This window comes from Homo sapiens, chromosome 17 (assembly GCF_000001405.40).
Source record: "Homo sapiens chromosome 17, GRCh38.p14 Primary Assembly".
Classification (NCBI taxonomy): domain Eukaryota; kingdom Metazoa; phylum Chordata; class Mammalia; order Primates; family Hominidae; genus Homo; species Homo sapiens.
Window position 1 is genome coordinate 16,218,357 of NC_000017.11, and position 19,085 is coordinate 16,237,441.

The 19,085-nt window shown below is 42.0% G+C and overlaps 1 protein-coding gene across 6 annotated transcripts in view; it reads left to right on the forward strand.

Annotated features, from left to right (window-relative positions):
• PIGL (phosphatidylinositol glycan anchor biosynthesis class L) overlaps positions 1–19,085 on the forward strand; it is a 109,202-nt gene that overhangs the window by 1,147 nt on the left and 88,970 nt on the right. For 5 of the 6 annotated variants that reach the window (XR_007065545.1, NM_004278.4, NM_001411072.1 and 2 more), the window contains exon 2: positions 15,615–15,714. The exons of the other annotated variant lie outside the window; for it this stretch is intronic. Coding sequence is in view for 4 of the 5 variants with exons in the window: in NM_004278.4 (NP_004269.1) it covers positions 15,615–15,714 (100 nt within the window). In the remaining variant the exon portion in view is untranslated. The remainder of the gene's footprint in view (positions 1–15,614; positions 15,715–19,085) is intronic. 6 annotated transcript variants of the gene reach the window in all.

Below are 19,085 nucleotides of genomic sequence, written 5' to 3' on the forward strand. Positions count from 1 at the left end.
ATTTATGTGCTAGGCCTTATTCTATGCCCTAGGGATACAAAAGTGGAAAGCTAGATAAGAGCAGTGTCCTCATGAAACTTTAAACATCTACCTATATTAATTAGATCTAAATGTATAGCCTGTTAAATGGCTTCATCGGGATAAACCTTAATCATCCCTTATTGTTTGTACATTCAGAGGGTTTTTTCCTAGTTTATTGCAAAGAGCAGAGAACATCTTTATGTATTTTATATTATTTCATGAGTATTAATTTTTAAAATTGGCTGTTTTTAGGCTTTGCATTGCAAAACACATTCCCAAAAACAAAATGCCAACTTACTCTTTTTTTTTTTTTTTTTTTCTGAGATAGTCTCGCTCTGTTGCCCAGGCTGGAGTGCCGTGGCGTGATCTCGGCTCACTGCAACCTCCACCACCCGGGTTCAAGTGATTCTCCTGCGTCAGCCTGCCAAGTAGCTGGGTTTACAAGCGCATGCCACCACACCTGGCTAATTTTTGTATTTTTAGTAGAGATGAGGTTTCACCATGTTAGCCAGGCTGGTCTCAAACTCCTGACCTCTAGTGATCCACCTGCCTTGGCCTCCCAAAGTGCTTGGGATTACAAGTGTGAGCCACCATGCCTGGCCTACCTATTTACATTCTTACTGGCACTAATGAGAGTATCTGTCTTAATATACTACTTTCTGTAGCATTGACTGACATTTTTTATAAATTTTTTTTTTTTTTTTTTTGAGACGGAGTCTTGCTCTATCGCCTAGGCTGGAGTGCAGTGGCGCAATCTCGGCTCACTGTAAGTTCTGCCTCCTGGGTTCACGCCCTTCTTTCTGGGACTACAGGCGCCCGCCCGCCACCATGCCCAGCTAATTTTTTTATTTGTTTTTAGTTTTTAGTAGAGACGGGGTTTCACTGTGTTAGCCAGGATGGTCTTGATCTCCTGAACTTTTGATCTGCCCGCCTCAGCCTCCCAAAGTGCTGGGATTACAGGCGTAAGCCACCACACCTGGCCATTTTTTATAAATTTCTTAATTTGTTTAGTATCTTCTCCCCCAAAAACCTTTGTTACCAGTAAAAGTAAACCATTTTACATATTTATTAAGAATTGGAGCCCAAGCACTTTTCTTCTAAAATTTATGCTCTGTTAAGAATATTAATTGCAAATAGTTACAAGTAATGCCACCATTTTTTCTTAGCTTCTAGGTTTGGTGGGGGGTTTTTTGTTTAGTTTTCTTTTTGAGATGGAGTCTCACTCTGTCACCCAGGCTGGAGTGCAGGGGCGCAATCTCAGTTCACTGCAACCTACGCCTCCTGAGTTTAAGCAATTCTCTTACCTCAGCCTCTCGAGTAGCTGGGACTACAGTGTGCACCACATGTTGGGCTAATTTTTGTATTTTTGGTAGAGCTGAGGTTTTGCTGGGATAGCCAGGCTAGTCTCGAACTCCTGACAAGTGATCCACCCACCTCGGCCTCCCAAAGTGCTGGGATTACAGGTGTGAGCCACCACACCCGGCTGGCCAGCTTTTAGTTGTATTTGTATTTTATATTACAACTATAGGAGTCAAATTATAAGCAAATTTGTTACAAGGTCTTCAAAAGAAGCCTGGATTTTATTTGCAAAACATTATAGGTATAGCTGTTTAATAAACTTACCCTTATTTTCAATAGGTTCATAAAAATTTGGGACCAGAATTGAAAATTTTTTCAAATAAAAAATATAGGCCGGGCATGGTGGCTCATGCCTGTAATCCGAGCACTTTGGGAGGCCGAGGCGGGCAGATCATGAGGTCAAGAGATCAAAACCATCTTGGCCAACATGTTGAAACCCCGTCTCTCCTACAAATACAAAAATTAGCTGGCTGTGGTGGTCCACGCCTGTAGTCCCAGCTACTCGGGAGGCTGAGGCAGGAGAATCACTTGAACCCAGGAGGCGGAGGTTACAGTGAGCTGAGATCGCGCCACTGCACTCCAGCCTGGCAACAGAGGGAGACTCCGTCTCAAAAAATATATATAGAGAGAGAGAGCATGCACTTGGCACTCAATGTTTTTATTGTATTTCATTATTTCCTCTGAATCCATTTTGTTTTTTATTGTATGTTATTTATTCTTTATTTGTGTTTTTTTAAATTGTTATTTTTTTTTTTTTTTTTTTTTTTTTTGAGGCAGAGTCTCACCCTGTCTCTCAGGCTAGAGTGCAGTGGTTCGATCTTGGCTCACTGCAACATCTGCCTCCCAGGTTCAAGCGATTTTCCTGCCTCAGCCTCTGGAGTAGCGGGATTACAGGCATTCACCGCCACGCCCAGCCAATTTTGTATTTTTAGTAGAGACGGGCTTTCTCCATGTTGGTCAGGCTGGTCTCAAAACTCCCGACCTCAGGTGATCCGCCCACCTTGGCCTCCCAAAGTGCTGGGATTACAGGCGTGAGCCACCGCGCCCAGCCACGCCAGGCTAATGTTTGTATTTTCAGTAGAGACAGGGTTTCACCATGGCGGCCAAACTGGTCTCGAACTCCTGACCTCAGGTGATCCACCTGGCCCGGCCTCCCAAAGTGCTGGGATTACATGCATGAGCCACTGAGCATGGCCTGTTTGTTTATTTTATAAAAATGGGGTCTTGTTCTGTCTAGAGCCTTTCCCCTCTAGACTGCACTGTCAGCTCTCATATCAGGTGACAGAGCAAGACCCTGTCTTTATAAAATAAACCAAACATGAATAACATACAAGAAAAAACAAAATGATAAGTTGGATTCAGAGGAAATAATGAAAGACAATAAAAACATTGAGTGCCAAGTGCATGCTCTGTATTTTTTATTTGAAAAAATTTTCAATTCTGGTCCCAAATTTTTATGAACCTATTGAAAATAAGGATGAATTTATTAAAGAGCTGTACCTGTAATATTTTGCAAATAAAATCCAGGCTTCTCTTGAAAATCTTGAAACAAACTTGCTTAATTTGACTCCTATAGTTGCAATATAAAATATAAATAAAACTAAAAGCTGACTGGATCACAGCTCCCTACAGCCTCCAAGTCTTGGGCTCAAGTGATCCTCCCGCCTCAGCCTACCAATAGTTGAGACTATAGGCGTGTGCCAGCACACCCAACTTTTTTTTTTTTTTTTTTTGAGACGGAGTCTCACTGTCGCCCGGGCTGGAGTGCAATGGCGCAATCTTGGGTCACTGCAACCTCTGCCTCCTGGATTCAAGCAATTCTCCTGCCTCAGCCTCCCAAGTAGCTGGGACTACAGGCATGCATCACCATACCTGGCTAATTTTTGTTTTTGTTTTTGTTTTGTTTTGAGTCTAGCTCTGTCTCCCAGGCTGGAGTGCAGTGGCACAATCTCGGCTCACTGCAACCTCCGCCTCCTGGGTTCAAGTGATTCTCCTGCCTCAGCCTCCCAAGTAGCTGGGATTACAGGTGCCCGCCACTATGCCCAGCTAATTTTTTGTGTTTTTAGTAGAGACAGGGTTTCACCATGTTGGCTGGGCTGCTCTTGAACTCCTGACCTCGTGATTCGCCCACCTCGGCCTCCCAGAATGCTGGGATTACAGACGTGAGCCACCACGCCTGGCCAATTTTTGCATTTTTAATGGAGATAGGGTTTCACCTTGTTGGCCAGGCTGGTCTTGAACTCCTCAAGTGATCCACCTGCCTTGGCCTCCCAAAATAATAGGATTACAGCATGAGCCACTGCTCCTGGTCTAATTTTTAAAATCCCTTCTTAAATTCACAAGTCATTCAAACGTGTGGATTAAACATTATCTATTCTGCTGATTTAACATTTTAATATAAAAAACAGGAAGCTATTAATTTGTAATGTAATGAAAGCTATGATGTTTTGATGGAGAAAGTACTATGGACACAAAATGGAAAAAAGCATTAAATCTCTTTTCAGGGGTTTAGATTAAGGAAATCTCCAAATTGGTTTTCTTTTGAGCTGGACTTTAAAAATAGGAGTAGATATATATATAGGAAGCAAGCAGTAGTAAAGGCATCAGTAACTCTTGGATTTGCATGAATAATTCATTCTAACAAGATCTTCAGTTTAAGGGAAAGGGAGAAGCAGGGAAAAAATAATAATTGCTTTGTTATTGGTGGCTCATTTCATCCTGTCAGCAACTCTGTGAGGTAGGTACTATTGTTTTTTCCATTATACAAGTATGGGAACTGAATCACAAAGTTTAAGTAACAACTGAAGTGACCAGCTACAGTGTAAAGAAGCCAGGACCCTGTGGTTTTTCTCTGTTCTAAAACCGTTACACCCAATCTGCCTCTCACATTGCCTTGTATGCCTTGTCAGTTGATGAAATATCTAAATTGATTCCCAGTGTATGTTCCAAGGAACATTAGTTCATCAAGCTGCTATTAAAAAAAAAAAAAAAGAGGCCAGGCACAGTAGCTTACACCAGTAATCCCAGCACTTTGGGAGGCCGAGACAGGTGCATCACGTGAGGTCAGGAGTTCCAGACCAGCCTGGCCAGCTTGGTGAAACCCCATTTCTACTAAAAATACAAAAATTAGCCAGGTGTGGTGGTGCATGCCTGTAATCCCAGCTACTCTGGAGGCTGAGACAGGAGAATCGCTTGAACCCAGTAGGTGGAGATTGCAGTGAGCAGAGATTGTGCCATTGCAATCCAGCCTGGGCAATAGAGCAAGACTCTGACTCAGAAAAAATAAATAAATAAAATGAAAAGAATGCCTCGGTCAAGTTTGGAGAATAGCCAGATGTGCTATCCTCTATGTAGACGTTTACAGTCTTTATGAGAATATCAACATCTTTGAGAAGCATTGCTGTAAAAAATTTTGACTTGGTTTAATCCAGTATTCCTCCAATTTATGTGACCACTAAAATACCTACTAATAGATGCATCTCTTATATAGTAGGATGTCATTGAATATATATGGTAGAGAAGTAACATAATCAGTTTTGTGTTTTAGAAAGCTCATTCTTGGCCAGGCGCAGTGGCTCGTGCCTGTAACCCCAGAACTTTGGGAGGCCAAGGTGGGCAGATCACAAGGTCAGGAGTTCGAGACCAGCCTGGCAAACACGGCGAAACCCCATCTCTACTAAAAATACAAAAATTAGCCGGGTGTGGTGGTGGATGCCTGTAATCCCAGCTACTCAGGAGGCTGAGGCAGAAGAATTGCTTGAACCCAGGAGGTGGAGGTTGCAGTGAGCCAAGATCGCTCCACTGCACTTCAGCCTGAGCGACAGAGCTAGACTCTATCTCAAAAATAAAAGCTCAGTCTTGGACCGGGTGTGGTGGCTCATGCCTGTAATCCCAGTACTTTGGGAGGCCAAAGTGGGAGGATTGCTTGAGGCCAGGAGTTCAAGACCAACCTGGTCAACATAGTGAGACCCCATCTATTTAAAAAAGAAAAAAAAAAAAGAAAGCTCATTCTGGTGGCAATGGGGAGAATGGTTTGGAAGGAAAGATTGGAGTCAGGAAAATCAATTCAGCCCAGCCTTTCTTCTCTAGACTGCACTGCCAGCTCTCATATATCAGATTTCCATGTAATTCTGGTCTATACACTTTAGTCATCTCAACAACCCTGTCTTAATTACTGTAGCTTATAAAAGCTACACTAGGCCAGAAGTGTTGGTTCACGCCTGTAATCCCAGCACTTTGGGAGACAGAGACGGGTGGATCACTAGTTCAAGAGAGCAGGACCATCTTGGCCAACGTGGTGAAACCCTGTCTCTACTAAAAATACAAAAATTAGCTGGGCATGGTGATGTGCGCCTGTAGTCCCAGCTACTCAGGAGGCTGAGGCAGGAGAATCACTTGAACCTGGGAGGCGGAGGTTGCAGTGAGCCAAGATTGCGCCACTGCACTCCAGCCTCTTGCTCTTGCGACAGAGCAAGACTCCGTCTCAGGGGGAAAAGAAAGCTACACTATATTATAGAAGCGCTATTATCTGATATGAATAGTCTTCTGATTGTTCTTCAGGGTATGTTTGCTGTTTTTGACCCTTTTTCCAAATACCTTTTTTATGGGGGAAGACAGAGCCTCACTGTTGCACAATCTTGGCTCACTGTAGCCTCCGCCTCCTGGATTCAAGTGATCCCCCTGCTTCAGCCTCCCGAGTAGCTGGGACTACAGGCATGCACCACCACGCCCAGCTAATTTTTGTATTTTTAGTAGAGACGGGATTTTGCCATGTTGGCCAGGCTGGTCTCCAACTCTTGACCTCAGGTGATCCAATCCTTCTTGGCCTCCCAAAGTGCTGGGATTACAGGATGAGCCACCATGCCCAGCCCCCAAATACATTTTAGAATTAGCTTGGTGATGTTCAAGGAAAAATCTTGCTGACATTTTTTCCCCCTTGTGACAGAGTCTCACTCTGACGTCCAGGCTGGAGTGCAGTGGCGCAGTCTCGGCTCACTGCAACCTCCACCTCCCAGGTTCAAGCGATTCTCCTGCCTCAGCCTCCCAAATAGCTGGGACTACGGGCATGTGCCACCATGCCCGGCTAATTTTTTGTATTTTTAGCAGAAATAGGGTTTCACCGTGTTAGCCAGGATGGTCTCGATCTCCTGACCTCGTGATCCGCCCACCTCAGCCTCCCAAAGTGCTGGGATTACAGGCGTGAGCCACAGTGCGTGGCCCTTGCTGGCATTTTTATTGGAATTTCACTGACTCTACTGATTAATATAAGGAGAACTGACATTTCCAATATAAAGCCTTTCTGTCTCTGATACTATGGTATGCTTCCATTTATTATATGTTGGCCTTCTTTACTATCTGTTAATAGTTTTATAATTAAGGTCTTAAATGTGTATTGAGATGATTATGTCATTGTGTCCATTAATCTGTTCTTATGTGTAGACATTCCTTTTGCAAATATAGTCTGTTACTTTCTCATACTTCAGTATCCTCTTTAATTTCTTTAAATATATTAAACATTTATATCTGCTTCTAATAATTCCAGTTTCTGCAGTCTGTATATCTGATTCTGTTCTTTGTTCTAGTAATTCATTCGGGGTGACTCGGTTCCATGTGTATTTTGTGATTTTTTTAAATGTAAGCACGTTTCTTTTTTTTTTTTTTTTTTTTTTTGATACGGAGTCTAGCTCTGTTGCCCAGGCTGAAGTGCAGTGGCACAATCTCAGCTCACTGCAAGCTCCGCCTCCTGGGTTCACGCCATTCTCCTGCCTCAGCCTCCTGAGTAGCTGGGACTACAGTCACCTGCCACCATGCCCGGCTAATTTTTTTTTTTTTTTTCAGTAGAGATGGGGTTTCACACCTGGGATTACAGGCGTGAGCCACCGTGCCTGGCCTTTTGTTTTCTTTTGTTGTTGTTGTTGTTTTGTTTTTTGCACGTGTTTCTTAGAACCATATTTGTGGTAATATTTTGGTGATTTACTTTAGCTTCAGCCAGGTAGCTAAGGGCACTACCTACCTCTCATCACTCTAAAATTTTAGATTGAGATTTTTCAGGCCATAGAGGTCATATAAATTCAGGGATCAAACCCAAGAGCATTCACTGTGGAATGCTGTGAAACAAATTGTCTCAAGACCTTGTAGCTTAAAACCATAATTAAATCTTTCCAGCCTGTGTGCTGGCACACACCTATAATCCTGGCACTTTCTGAGGCCGAAGCAGGAGGATCACTTAACCCAAGAGTTCAGCCTGGGCAACATAGCCAGACCAGGAAAAAAAAAAAAAAAAAGTTAGCCAGGCTTGGTGGCAGCTGCATGTAGTCTCAGCTACTTGGGAGGCTGAGGTGGAAGAACACTTGAGCCCAGGAGTTTGCGACTAGAGTAAGCTATGATGATCATGCCTTATAGACTAAGCCCATGTCTCAAAAACAAACAACAACAAGAAAAACCAATCACCTTTTTTTTCATGGTTTCAGACAAAGTATACTTGTCTCTGCCTCACAATGTTTAGTACCTCATTTGGAGGACCCAAAGACTAGGGGCTGGAATCACCTGAATACTCATGCACTTACGTATCTGGCTGTCAGCTGGGGACTTTGCTACAGATGTCAGCCAGAACATCCACATATGGTATATCCATGTGACCTGGGCTTCCTCACAACCTGGTGGCTGGGTTCTTGGGCAAGTGTCCTAAGAAAGAGCCTGTGCTAGGGATAACCATATTTCCTTTTATGACCTATCCTTAAAAATCTTGCAGTATCATAAGCCACATCCAGGTTTAAGGAGAGAATTAGATTCCACCTCCTAAAGGGGAATGTAGACATTCTACAAGTGCATATGGGACTAGAAATATTGCTGTAGCTACTTTTGGAAAATACAGTCTATCACACCAAGTAAAGGAGAGTATGTGATTAGCAATTCTTAGGGGGTGACATTTTTTCTTATTTTCCCTTCTGCTAGAACCAAGCCTACAGATAGGATGTAGCCCCACCATATCTGTCTAGGGCAAGTTTTTTTCTGGTTCATCCAGTGAAGGTATTGCCTTTTGAAGGTCCTGTCTTTATGTGGAGGTCTCCTTATCTGTGTCCAAGCTTTATCTGCTGCTCCCTTGACTTTAGGCCACCAAGGATATGTAGATGTTCTCAAAGTGCTCTGGGTCAGCCGCATAATACCTCTCAGGATTTATGTCTACCTATTGTTTTAGTCCTTCAAGTATATCCCTTACTTTCCTGCTAGTTAAACCATGCATTCTAGAACATGTTTGCCTTTTATCTCACATGTTCAGGTATTCATCCTGAGGGTTTCTCTGCATATCTGATTTACCATATTGCCTAAATAGAACTTATTAGGGGTTATTTTTAATACTGCTTTTTTGGGTTTTTTCTTTTTTTTTTTTGAGACGGAGTCTCCCTCTGTCACCCAGGCTGGAGTGCAGTGGCACGATCTCGGCTCACTGCAACCTCCACCTCTCGGGTTCAAGTGACTCTCCTGCCTCAGCTTCCCAAGTAGCTGGGATTACAGGCGCGTGCCACCATCATGACCAGCTAATTTTGGTATTTTTGTAGAGCCAGGGTTTCACCATGTTGGCCAGGCTAGTCTCAAACTCCTGACCTCAAGTAATCCGCCTGCCTTGGCCTCCCAAAGTGCTGGGATTACAGGCGTGAGCCACCTCACCCAGTGAAAGGTAGCAATTTCATTAGTAAGAGTCGATATGAATGCAATCCTTTTGGGAATAATGAGAAATGACACTACTCGCAAGTATGGCTATATTGGCTGATAATATAGCATGTGACAATGTTTCTTGATCTGCAGAGATATGAGCTCATTTTTCTTTTTAATTTTCTTTTCTTTTTTTTTTTTTTTTTTTGAGATGGAGTTTCACTCTTGTTGCCCAGGCTGGAGTACAATGGCATGATCTCGGCTCACTGCAACCTCTGCCTCCCAGGTTCAAGCGATTTTCCTGCCTCAGCCTCCCAAGTAGCTGTGATTACAGGCATGTGCCACCATGCCCGGCTAATTTTGTATTTTTAGTAAAGACTGGGTTTCTCCATGTTGGTCAGGCTGGTCTCGAACTCCCGACCTCAGGTGATCCACCCACCTTGGCCCCCCAAAGTTTGGGATTACAGGCATGAGCCACTGCACCCAGCCTTTTTAATTTTTTTCTCTTAGTGATCTTTTAAAGACAACTTCTGTTTTATAGGGATAACGCCTATAATCCCAGCAATTTCATAATTGAAAGATTTTATTCATTGAAAATCCAGTTTTTAATATTATTTAAATTGTGGTAAGACATACATAACAAGAACTTACCATTTTAAACTTTTTTTTTTTTTTTTTTGAGATGGAGTTTCACTCTTGTTGCCCACACTAGAGTGCAATGGCATGATCTCGGCTCACTGCAACCTCCGCCTCCCAGGTTCAAGCAATTCTCCTACCTCAGCCCCCTGAATAGCTGGGATTACAGGCACCCACCACCACCATGCCCGGCTAATTTTTTTATATTTTTATTAGAGAATGGAGTTTCACCATGTTGGCCAGGCTTGTCTTGAACTCCTGACCTGAGGTGATCCACCTTCCTCGGCCTCCCAAAGTGCTAGGATTACAGGCGTGAGCCACTGCGCCCAGCGATTTTATTTTATTTTATTTCTTTATTTATTTTATTTTATTTTTTTGAGACGGAGTCTTGCTCTGTCGCCCAGGCTGGAGTGCAGTGGCGCGATGTACGCTCACTGCAAGCTCCGCCTCCCGGGTTTACTTACACCATTCTCCTGCCTCAGCCTCCCGAGTAGCTGGGACTACAGGCTCCCGCCACCACGCCCGGCTAATTTTTTGTATTTTTAGTAGAGACGGGGTTTCACCGTGTTAGCCAGGATGGTCTCGATCTCCTGACCTCGTGATCCGCCCGCCTTGGCCTCCCAAAGTGATGGGATTACAGGCGTAAGCCACCACGCCCGGCGATTTTAAACATTTTTAAGTGTTCAATTCCATGGCAGTAAGCACTTTCATAGTATTATGTAACCATCACCACTATTTCATCATCCCAAATAGAAACTCTATACCTGTTTAGCATTCCTTTTCCCCTCCTCTCCCAAGCCTCTGGTAACCACCATTCTTTCTATCTCTATGAATTTGTCTATTCTAGGTAACTCGAATAAGTGGAATCATACAATAATTGTTATTTTATGCCTGGCTTATGCTAATTAGCATACTGTTTTCAAAGTTCATCCATATTGTGGCATGTATCAGAACTTCATTTCTGGTTGAGCTCAGTGGCTCACACCTGTAATCCCAGCACTTTGGGAGGCTGAAGTGGAAGGATCCCTTGAGACCAGGAGTTCAAGACCAGTCTGGACAACATAGTGAGATTTCGTCTTTACAAAAAATAAAAATAAAAAAATTAGCCAGTCTGGGTGGCGAGTGCCTATAGTCCCAGCTACTTGGGAGGCTGAAGTGGGAGAATCCCTTGAATCCAGGAGGTCAAGGCTGCAGTAAGCTCTGATCAGTCTGCTGCATTCCGGCCTGGGTGACAGAGCAAGTCCCTGTCTCAAAAAAAAACTTCATTTCTTTTTATGGCTTTATTAATATTCCATTGTGTATATATACATACATATATATATGTATGTATATATACCACATTTTGTTTATCATTCATCTAATGATAGGCACTTGGGTTATTTCCAATTTGGGGCTATTATGAATAATGCTTCTATGAACATTGGTGTACAAGTATTTATTTGAGTACCGGTTTTCCTTTTTTTTTTTTTTTTTTTTGAGTATAATTGCTGAGACATATGGTAATTCTGTATTTAAATTTTTTGAGAATTGACAAACTGTTTTCTGCAGCAACTGTACAGTTTTACGTTGCCACCAGCAATGAACTATGGTTCCAGTTTCTCCACATCTTTGTCAGCATTTGTAATTTTCCATTTTTTGGACTATAGCCATCCTAGTAAGTGTGCAGTGATGATGTCACATTGTGGTTTTGATTTTCATTTCCCTGATGACTAAGGATGATGAGCATCTTGCATCTTTTCACATGCTTATTGGCCATCTATATATCTTCTTTAGAGAATACCTATTCAAGTCCTTTGCCCATTTTCTGATTCTAGTTTCATTTTAAAGTCATGATTTTTTTTTTTTTTTTTTTTTTGAGACGGAGTCTCGCTCTGTCACCAGGCTGGAGTGCAGTGGCACGATCTCAGCTCACTGCAACCTCCACCTCCTAGGTTCAAGAGATTCTCCTGCCTTAACCTCCCGAGTAGCTGGGACTACAGGCGTGTGCCCACCATGCCCAGCTAATTATTGTATTTTTAGTAGAGATGGGGTTTCACTATGTTGGCCAGGATGGTCTCAATCTCTTGACCTCGTGATCCACCTGCCTCGGCCTCTCAAAGTGCTGGGATTACAGGCATGAGGCACTGTGCCTGGCCAAGTCATGATTTCTTAGACTGGGTTCTGTGGACACATCCTAATAGAAGAGGATCTAGCTCTCTTAGTTTCAGCTTCCTTTGGGAACCCAGGCCTCTGGGCTCCAGTAACACTGCCTCCTTCCTTTACCTTGCCAACCGAGGGTTGGTAGTCACTTCTTGCTATCTCTAAACTCTGGGTTACTTCACTGTTCCTTTTGTCCCTTAGATCCTCCCTCAGTTATGCGTCAAAATCTTTGCATTAAATTCTTGCTGTTGTAACTATTTGATGTGGTTTCTGTTACCCCGAATAGATCTTGACATAGCATCTAAATTCCCTCATTTTATAGGGGAAGAAACTTGTACCATTTTGTCTTCCAAATACATTTTAGAATTACTTGGTCATGTTAAAGGAAAAACATTGCAGCTATTCCTTCCCATAACATACTTCTCAGTCGTAACTAGCAATCTAGCAGTCATAATCACTTTTTTTTTTTTTTGAGATGGAGTCTCACTCTGTTACCAGGCTGGAGTGCAGTGGCACAGTCTCAGCTCACTGCAACTTCTACTTCCTGGGTTCAAGCTTTTCTCCTGCCTCAGCCTCCCAAGTAATTACAGGCTAGGATTACAGGCCTGAGCCACCGTGGCCAGCCTCATAATCACATTTAATACAAAATAAAGTCACGTTGTAAAGACTCAAATTTATACATCACAATGTATAAAGGTAAAAATTTTATTTTTAAAGAATAAAATTACAAAAATTAAAGAATTTCTCCAAATTCATATAGTTAGTAAAAAGACAGATAGTGTTGGGACCATGATGCCTTCATGCCCAGTCCATTTCTTGTTCTAACAAATTAAAACTTCCCGGGTTGGAGTGGGAGAGGAGCTTTTTTCCTTTATATGGTTTTTTTTTTGGTTTTGGTTTTTCTTTTTTTTTTTTTTTTTTTTTTGGTAGAGAGAGGTCTTGCTATATTCCCCAGCCTGGTCTTGAATTCCTGGCCTTAAACAGTGTGCCCGCCTTCCAAAGTGCTAGGAGCTGGGATTACAGGCATGAGCCACCACACCCAGCTTCTTACTGATTTATTTTCTTTTCTTTTTTTTTTTTTTTTTTGAGACACAGGGTCTCACATTGTCACCCAGGCTGTAGTGCAGTGGTGTGGTCATGGTTCACTATAGCCTCAAAATCCCAGGCTCAAGCGTTCCTCCCACTTCAGCCTCCCGAGTCAGTGGGACTACAGGCGTGAGCCACCATGCCCAGCTAATTTTTAAAATTTTTCTTTTGTGAAAACAGGGTCTCACTATGTTGACCAGGCTGGTTTTGAACTCCTGGCCTCAAGTGATCCTCTTGCCACAGCCTTCCAAAGTGCTGGGAATACAGACATGAGCCACTATGCCCAGCTTTGATTTTTTTTTAACCATATAAATCTATTACCTATTTAGAATAAACTAATTTTAAATTTTTTAAGTAAAATAAAATGTTTACCCTTATAAATTATGATGTATAAATTTGAGTCTTTACAAAATGTCTTTACTTTGTATTAAATGTGATTATGATTGCTAGTTATGACTGAGAAGTATGTTATGGGAAGACTACTAAGCATACAATTGTGCATGAGCTTATACACAAACACACACATAATGTAGTTCTACATCTAGAAATTACATTAATTTTATTATTTTCTGTTTCCTAGAATAATGGTCTCAAACTCTTTGGTCACATTTTCCTATCAGTAAAAAATGTTGAGTTTTTTTATTTATTTACAATATATCATAAGTATATGGACTAATGTGTACATTAAAAACATTAACAAAAACTTACATTTATAAAAAACAAGGTAAACAAATTAGGGGGAGATGGCTGAGCACTGTGGCTCACTCCTGTAATCCCTTCACTTTGGGAGGCAGAGGTGGGTGGATCACCTGAGGTCAGGAGTTCAAGACCAGCCTGGCCAACATAATGAAATCCCGTCTCTACTAAAAATACAAAAATTAGCCAGGCGTGGTGGTGGGCACCTGTAAACCCAGCTACTTAGGAGGCTGAGGCAAGAGAATCGCTTGCACCTGAGAGGCGGAGGTTGCAGTGAACTGAGATCACACCACTGCACTCCAGCCTGGGCAACAAGAGCAAAACTCTGTCTCAGAAAAAAGGAAAGAAAAGAAAATTAGGGGGAGACATCCTAATGCTTTTTCTCCACCACCCCAAAAGATTATTTTGTGCATCCTAGGGTGCACCTGTCTTAGTTGGACATTGTTCTAGAATGTATCAGTTAAAAGCTGCTGAAAGATCTCAGACATGTGTTCTGTTAAGTGCCTACAGGTTCACCAAACTTATTGAAAATAGTTAAAATGGTCCTTGACTTCAGCTTCCAGAACTGTTGTAAGTTCCTTAGTTCAAACACAAAGCAATAAAACTGGCCCCAATAAAACACATTAGCCTCAATTCTAAGCAGTTTCTGATAACCATAATCATAGACTAATGTGCACAGCCTTTGAACTTAGCAATTGCAACACTAATGTACATGAGACTATTTATCACCAAAAATCAAGTAATCTAGGGAGAAAAAATGGGAGAGGGTATGTGTAGAGATTTGAGGGAAACCCAAAATATACACAAAATAGTTTATGACTTAAAAAAAAAAAACGCAAAAAAAGGTATGATGAGGACAATACAAAACTAAACCTGTAAACTAAACCTGTTTGCTGGGCGCAGTGGCTCACACTTGTAATCCCAGCACTTTGGGAGGCTGAGGCGGATGGATCACAAGGTCAGGAGTTCAAGACCAGCCTGTCCAACATGGTGAAACCCCATCTCAAATAAAAATACAAAAATTAGCCCGGTGTGGTGGCGGGTGCCTGTAATCCTAACTACTGAGCTGAGGCAGGAGAATCGCTTGAACTCTGGAGGCAGAGGTTGCAGTGAGCCAAGATCGCGCTGCTGTACTCCAGCCAGGGCGACAGAGCAAGACTCTTAAAAAAAAAAAAAATGGCCATTATCTCCACTTAACTGGTGAAGAAACTGTGGCTCAAGAAAGTTAAGTAACTTGCACAAATCAGACCTGCAATTATTTATTGGAGAGTTGAAGTAACAGGTGCATTAGCTGGACAGTTGCTCAAAATGAGTCCAACTTAAGTGATACCAAAATGTCACTGTATTATTATTTGTAAGGTTACAGAGGAGTTTTATTTACCAGAACTATTTTTAGGGAATATAGTATATGTTTTGGGAAAATAAAGAATATATAAGTTGTTTGGGGTGCCAATGGGATCAAGATCCCCTTGGGGTATGCTGGATAGCTGGCTATGAAACTCTTCAAAAGAGGAAGCTTTCCTAAATGGTATCTACACATTTTCCTGTAATACTCAGGAGTAGCAACCTCTATTTTCTTTTTCTATACCAACAAGAATGAGCTTGGAAAGCTTCATCCTTAAATCAATGTTAAACAGGATTTGAGGACTGTCAATGAAGAGGGGGCCCCAGTTGTTCTGAGTGGTCGTACATGGTGTGATCCTAAATCTGCTTAACTTCAAAGTTAGTACCCTTGGCTGTGTACCATGCTGCCTCTAGCATGTGACTGAAATGCAGACAGACAGATAGGTATATAGATACAAAGATGGGAAAGAATTGTGAATGGTGATTCTAAAGATTGTGCTACTGGTAGTCTTCTCACAGGAGTATCTTGGTGTCGTGTTTTCTTAAACTTTGTATCATAATCACACATTTTCAGGCAGCTTAAATCCTTTAAGGAACAAAAACAGGATAAGAATGAGTGAATAGATAGGTCTCCACTGTTAAAAAAAAAAAATCTACCACTGTATATTTGTTACCCTCAGGAAATTACTACAATCAAGGAGAGACTCGTAAGAAAGAACTTTTGCAGAGCTGTGATGTTTTGGGGATTCCACTCTCCAGTGTAATGATTATTGACAACAGGTAATATATCTTTTAACAATGTAGAAATTTATTGGCAATAAATATGCAGTGATATACTCAAAAGACACACAAAAAACTAATGTGAGTGGCTGAGAACATCTTGTATGAAAAGTCTAGGGCTCGGTGCCATGGTTCACGCTTGTAATCCCAGTACTTTGGGAGGCCGAGGTGGGCGGTCTCAGGAGTTTGAGACCAGCCTGGCCAACATGGTAAAACCGCATCTCTACTAAAAATACAAAAATTAGCTGGGCATTGTGGTCCAGCTACTAAAGAGGCTGAGGCAGGAGAATCACTTGAACCCAGGAGTTGGAGGTTGCAGTGAGCTGAGATCAAGCCATTGCACTCCATCCTGGGCGACAGTGAGACTTCATCTCAAAAAAGAAAAGAAAAGTCTACATAAAATAACTTCACAGCGGGGCACAGTGGCTTACGCCTGTAATCCCAGCACTTTGGGAGGCCGAGGTGGGCAGATCACCTCAGGTCAGGAGTTCAAGACCAACCTGGCCAAACATGGTAAAACCCCGCATCTACTAAAACTACAAAAATTAGCCGGGCGTATTGGCCTACGCCTGTAATCTCAGCTACTTGGGAAGCTGAGGCAGGAGAATCGCTTGAACCTGGGAGGCAGAGGTTGCAGTGAGCCAAGATCACACCATTGCACTTCAGCCTGGATGAGAGAGCAAGACTCCGTCTCAAAAATAATAATAATAATAACTTCACATTTGTTTTTAAATGACAGCGTGATTGAAATAAATTTTTTAACTTCTGTTCGGATTTTTTTTCCTGACATGGGTACTTCTCTTTACATCTATAGCTTTAAAAAGTTTTATTATAAATTTCAAAAACATACAAAAGTATAAAGAATAGTATCATAAACCCCCATTTGCCTATTACCTAAACCCACTGATTATCGAGACTTTACTATACAGTGCTTGTTTCTTCACCTATCCCTAACTTAACATCTTTTGTGTATATGAAACATTTTAAAGAAAACTCCAACCACCAGGTTTTTTACCCCAAGGTACTTAGGTCTGCATCTCTTAAGAAGATGGGACACTTTTCATCTAGCTACAGACAGCCATTATCATTACATCTAACAATATTAACAATAACAGTAATTCTTTGGTGTCCACCAACACCCAGTCCATATCAGAATTTCTTCAGGTAGCTCAAAGATTTCCTTTTACAATTGGTTTACTCAAATCAGGATTTCGACAAGGACCACACATTATAGTTGGTTGATATTCTGCATTTAATTACCCTTTTCTCCAAATCAGTGGATTTGTTGAAGAAACTGAATTATGTTGTCATACAGAATGTCCTGCATTCTGGATTTATCTGTTTGTTTCCTGTATGTCTACGTTCTTTTTTTTTTTTTTTTTTTTTTTTTTGAGACGGAGTCTCACTCTGTTCCCGCCCAGCCTGGAGTGCAGTGGTGCCATCTCGGCTCACTGCAACCTCCACCTCCTGGATTCAAGCGGTTCTCCCCCCTCAGTCTCCCAAGTAGTTGAGATTACAGGCATCCACCACCACACCTGGCTAATTTTTTGTATTTTTAGTAGAGATGGGGTTTCACCATATTGGCCAGGCCAGGCTGATCTTGAACTCCCGACCTCAGGTGATCCACCTGCCTCGGCCTCCCAAAGTGCTGTGATTATAGCCATGAACCACTGTGTCCGGTCTTTTTTTTTTTTTTTTTTTGCACACGGCAAATCAGATTTGGGTCTAACTTTTTGGGGGGCAAGAATATTTCATAGGCTGTACTATGTACTTTGCATCATATCAGGAGACACGTACTATCTGTTAGACCTATAGTGAATCTACAGTTGATCAGTGAGTTCAGATGGCAATGACTCCCTTTATTTTAAAGACCCCCGTCAAACTTTCATATGTTCTCATGCCTATTGCCTGAATCATTAATTACCTAGAAGTTGCAAAATGCTTAGTTTCCAATAGTCTCACATATTCTATGTGTACTATCTATAATTCTTTTGTAAAACAGAATCTTCACTATTAATTAAGGCTACTTAGTTACCCTGCTATGTATAATAATTTGAAACAAAAAAACAGGATAGGTGCTTAATTTTTTCCCCTTAATTGACATTTTTCAGAATAAAGAGTTGATACGCCGTACACCTACAGTCGTGATCTATTGTTTGTTTCTTGAATGGGAGGACACCTAACTTTCATTAGGAAATTACGCGTTTTTATGTATTCGGTGTTTCAGGTTCAGTCATATGTTCTTTAATACTAAATTGTCTTATGTTTGGCCAGAGAGTCTCTCCATGTTGGCTTATATGTCCTTTTCATATGACCTCTGTCTTTTATGATTTCCTTCCTTTCTTTCAAGTACAATGAGATTTTCCAGTACTATCTTGTATACTTTCCTGCTCCAATTCTGAAATCAGCCATTTCTCCAAAGAGCCTTTGTTTGTCTTAGTAGGGAATGGTATTTAGAGTCCATAACCAGCATAGTAGGAGTGTTCATTGCAATAGTGTTATTTATTTATTTTTTTAGACAGAGTCTTGCTCTGTTGCCCAGGCTGGAGTGCAGTGGTGCGATCTTGGCTCACTGTAGCCTCTGCCTCCCTGGTTCCAGCGAGTCTCCTGCCTCAGCCTCCTGGGTAGCTGGGATTACAGGTACACGCCACCATGCCCAGCTAATTTTTATATTTTTAGTAGAGACAGGGGTTTCACCATGTTGGTCAGGCTGGTCTCGAACTCCTGACCTCAGGTGACCTGCCTGCCTCAGCCTCCCAAAGTGTTGGGATTACAGGCATGAGCCACCACGCCTGGCCGCTATAGTGTTATTATTTCTCATTGCTACTTGACCTTTATAGTGGACAGAGCTAAGATGTATGTTTTTTATGTGCTTTTGTATTTTTTAGAGACAGGATCTCACTGTTACCCAGGGTGGAGTGAACTGGCGTGATCACACTTCACTGTAGCCTTGAACTCCTGGGTTCAGGCAATCCTCCTGTGTCAGCCTCCCGAGTAACTGGGACTACAGGCACTCACCACCACACCTGGCTTTTTTTTTTTTTTTTTTTTTTTTGAGATGGAGTCTTGCTGTGTCGCCCAGGCTGGAGTGCAGTGGTGCCATCTCAGCTCACTGCAACGTCCGCCACCTGAGCTAAAGTGATTCTCCTGCCTCAGCCTCCTGAGTAGCTGGGATTACAGGCACACACCACTACACCTGGCTAATTTTTGTATCTTTAGTAGAGAAGGGGTTTCGCCATGTTGGCCAGGCTGGTCTTGAACTTTTGACCTCAAGTGATCCGCCCTCCTCGGCCTCCCAAAGTGCTGGGATTACAGACGTGAGCCACTGCGCCTGGCCTATTTTTTTTTTTAAAGGAAAAAAATCAGAAATA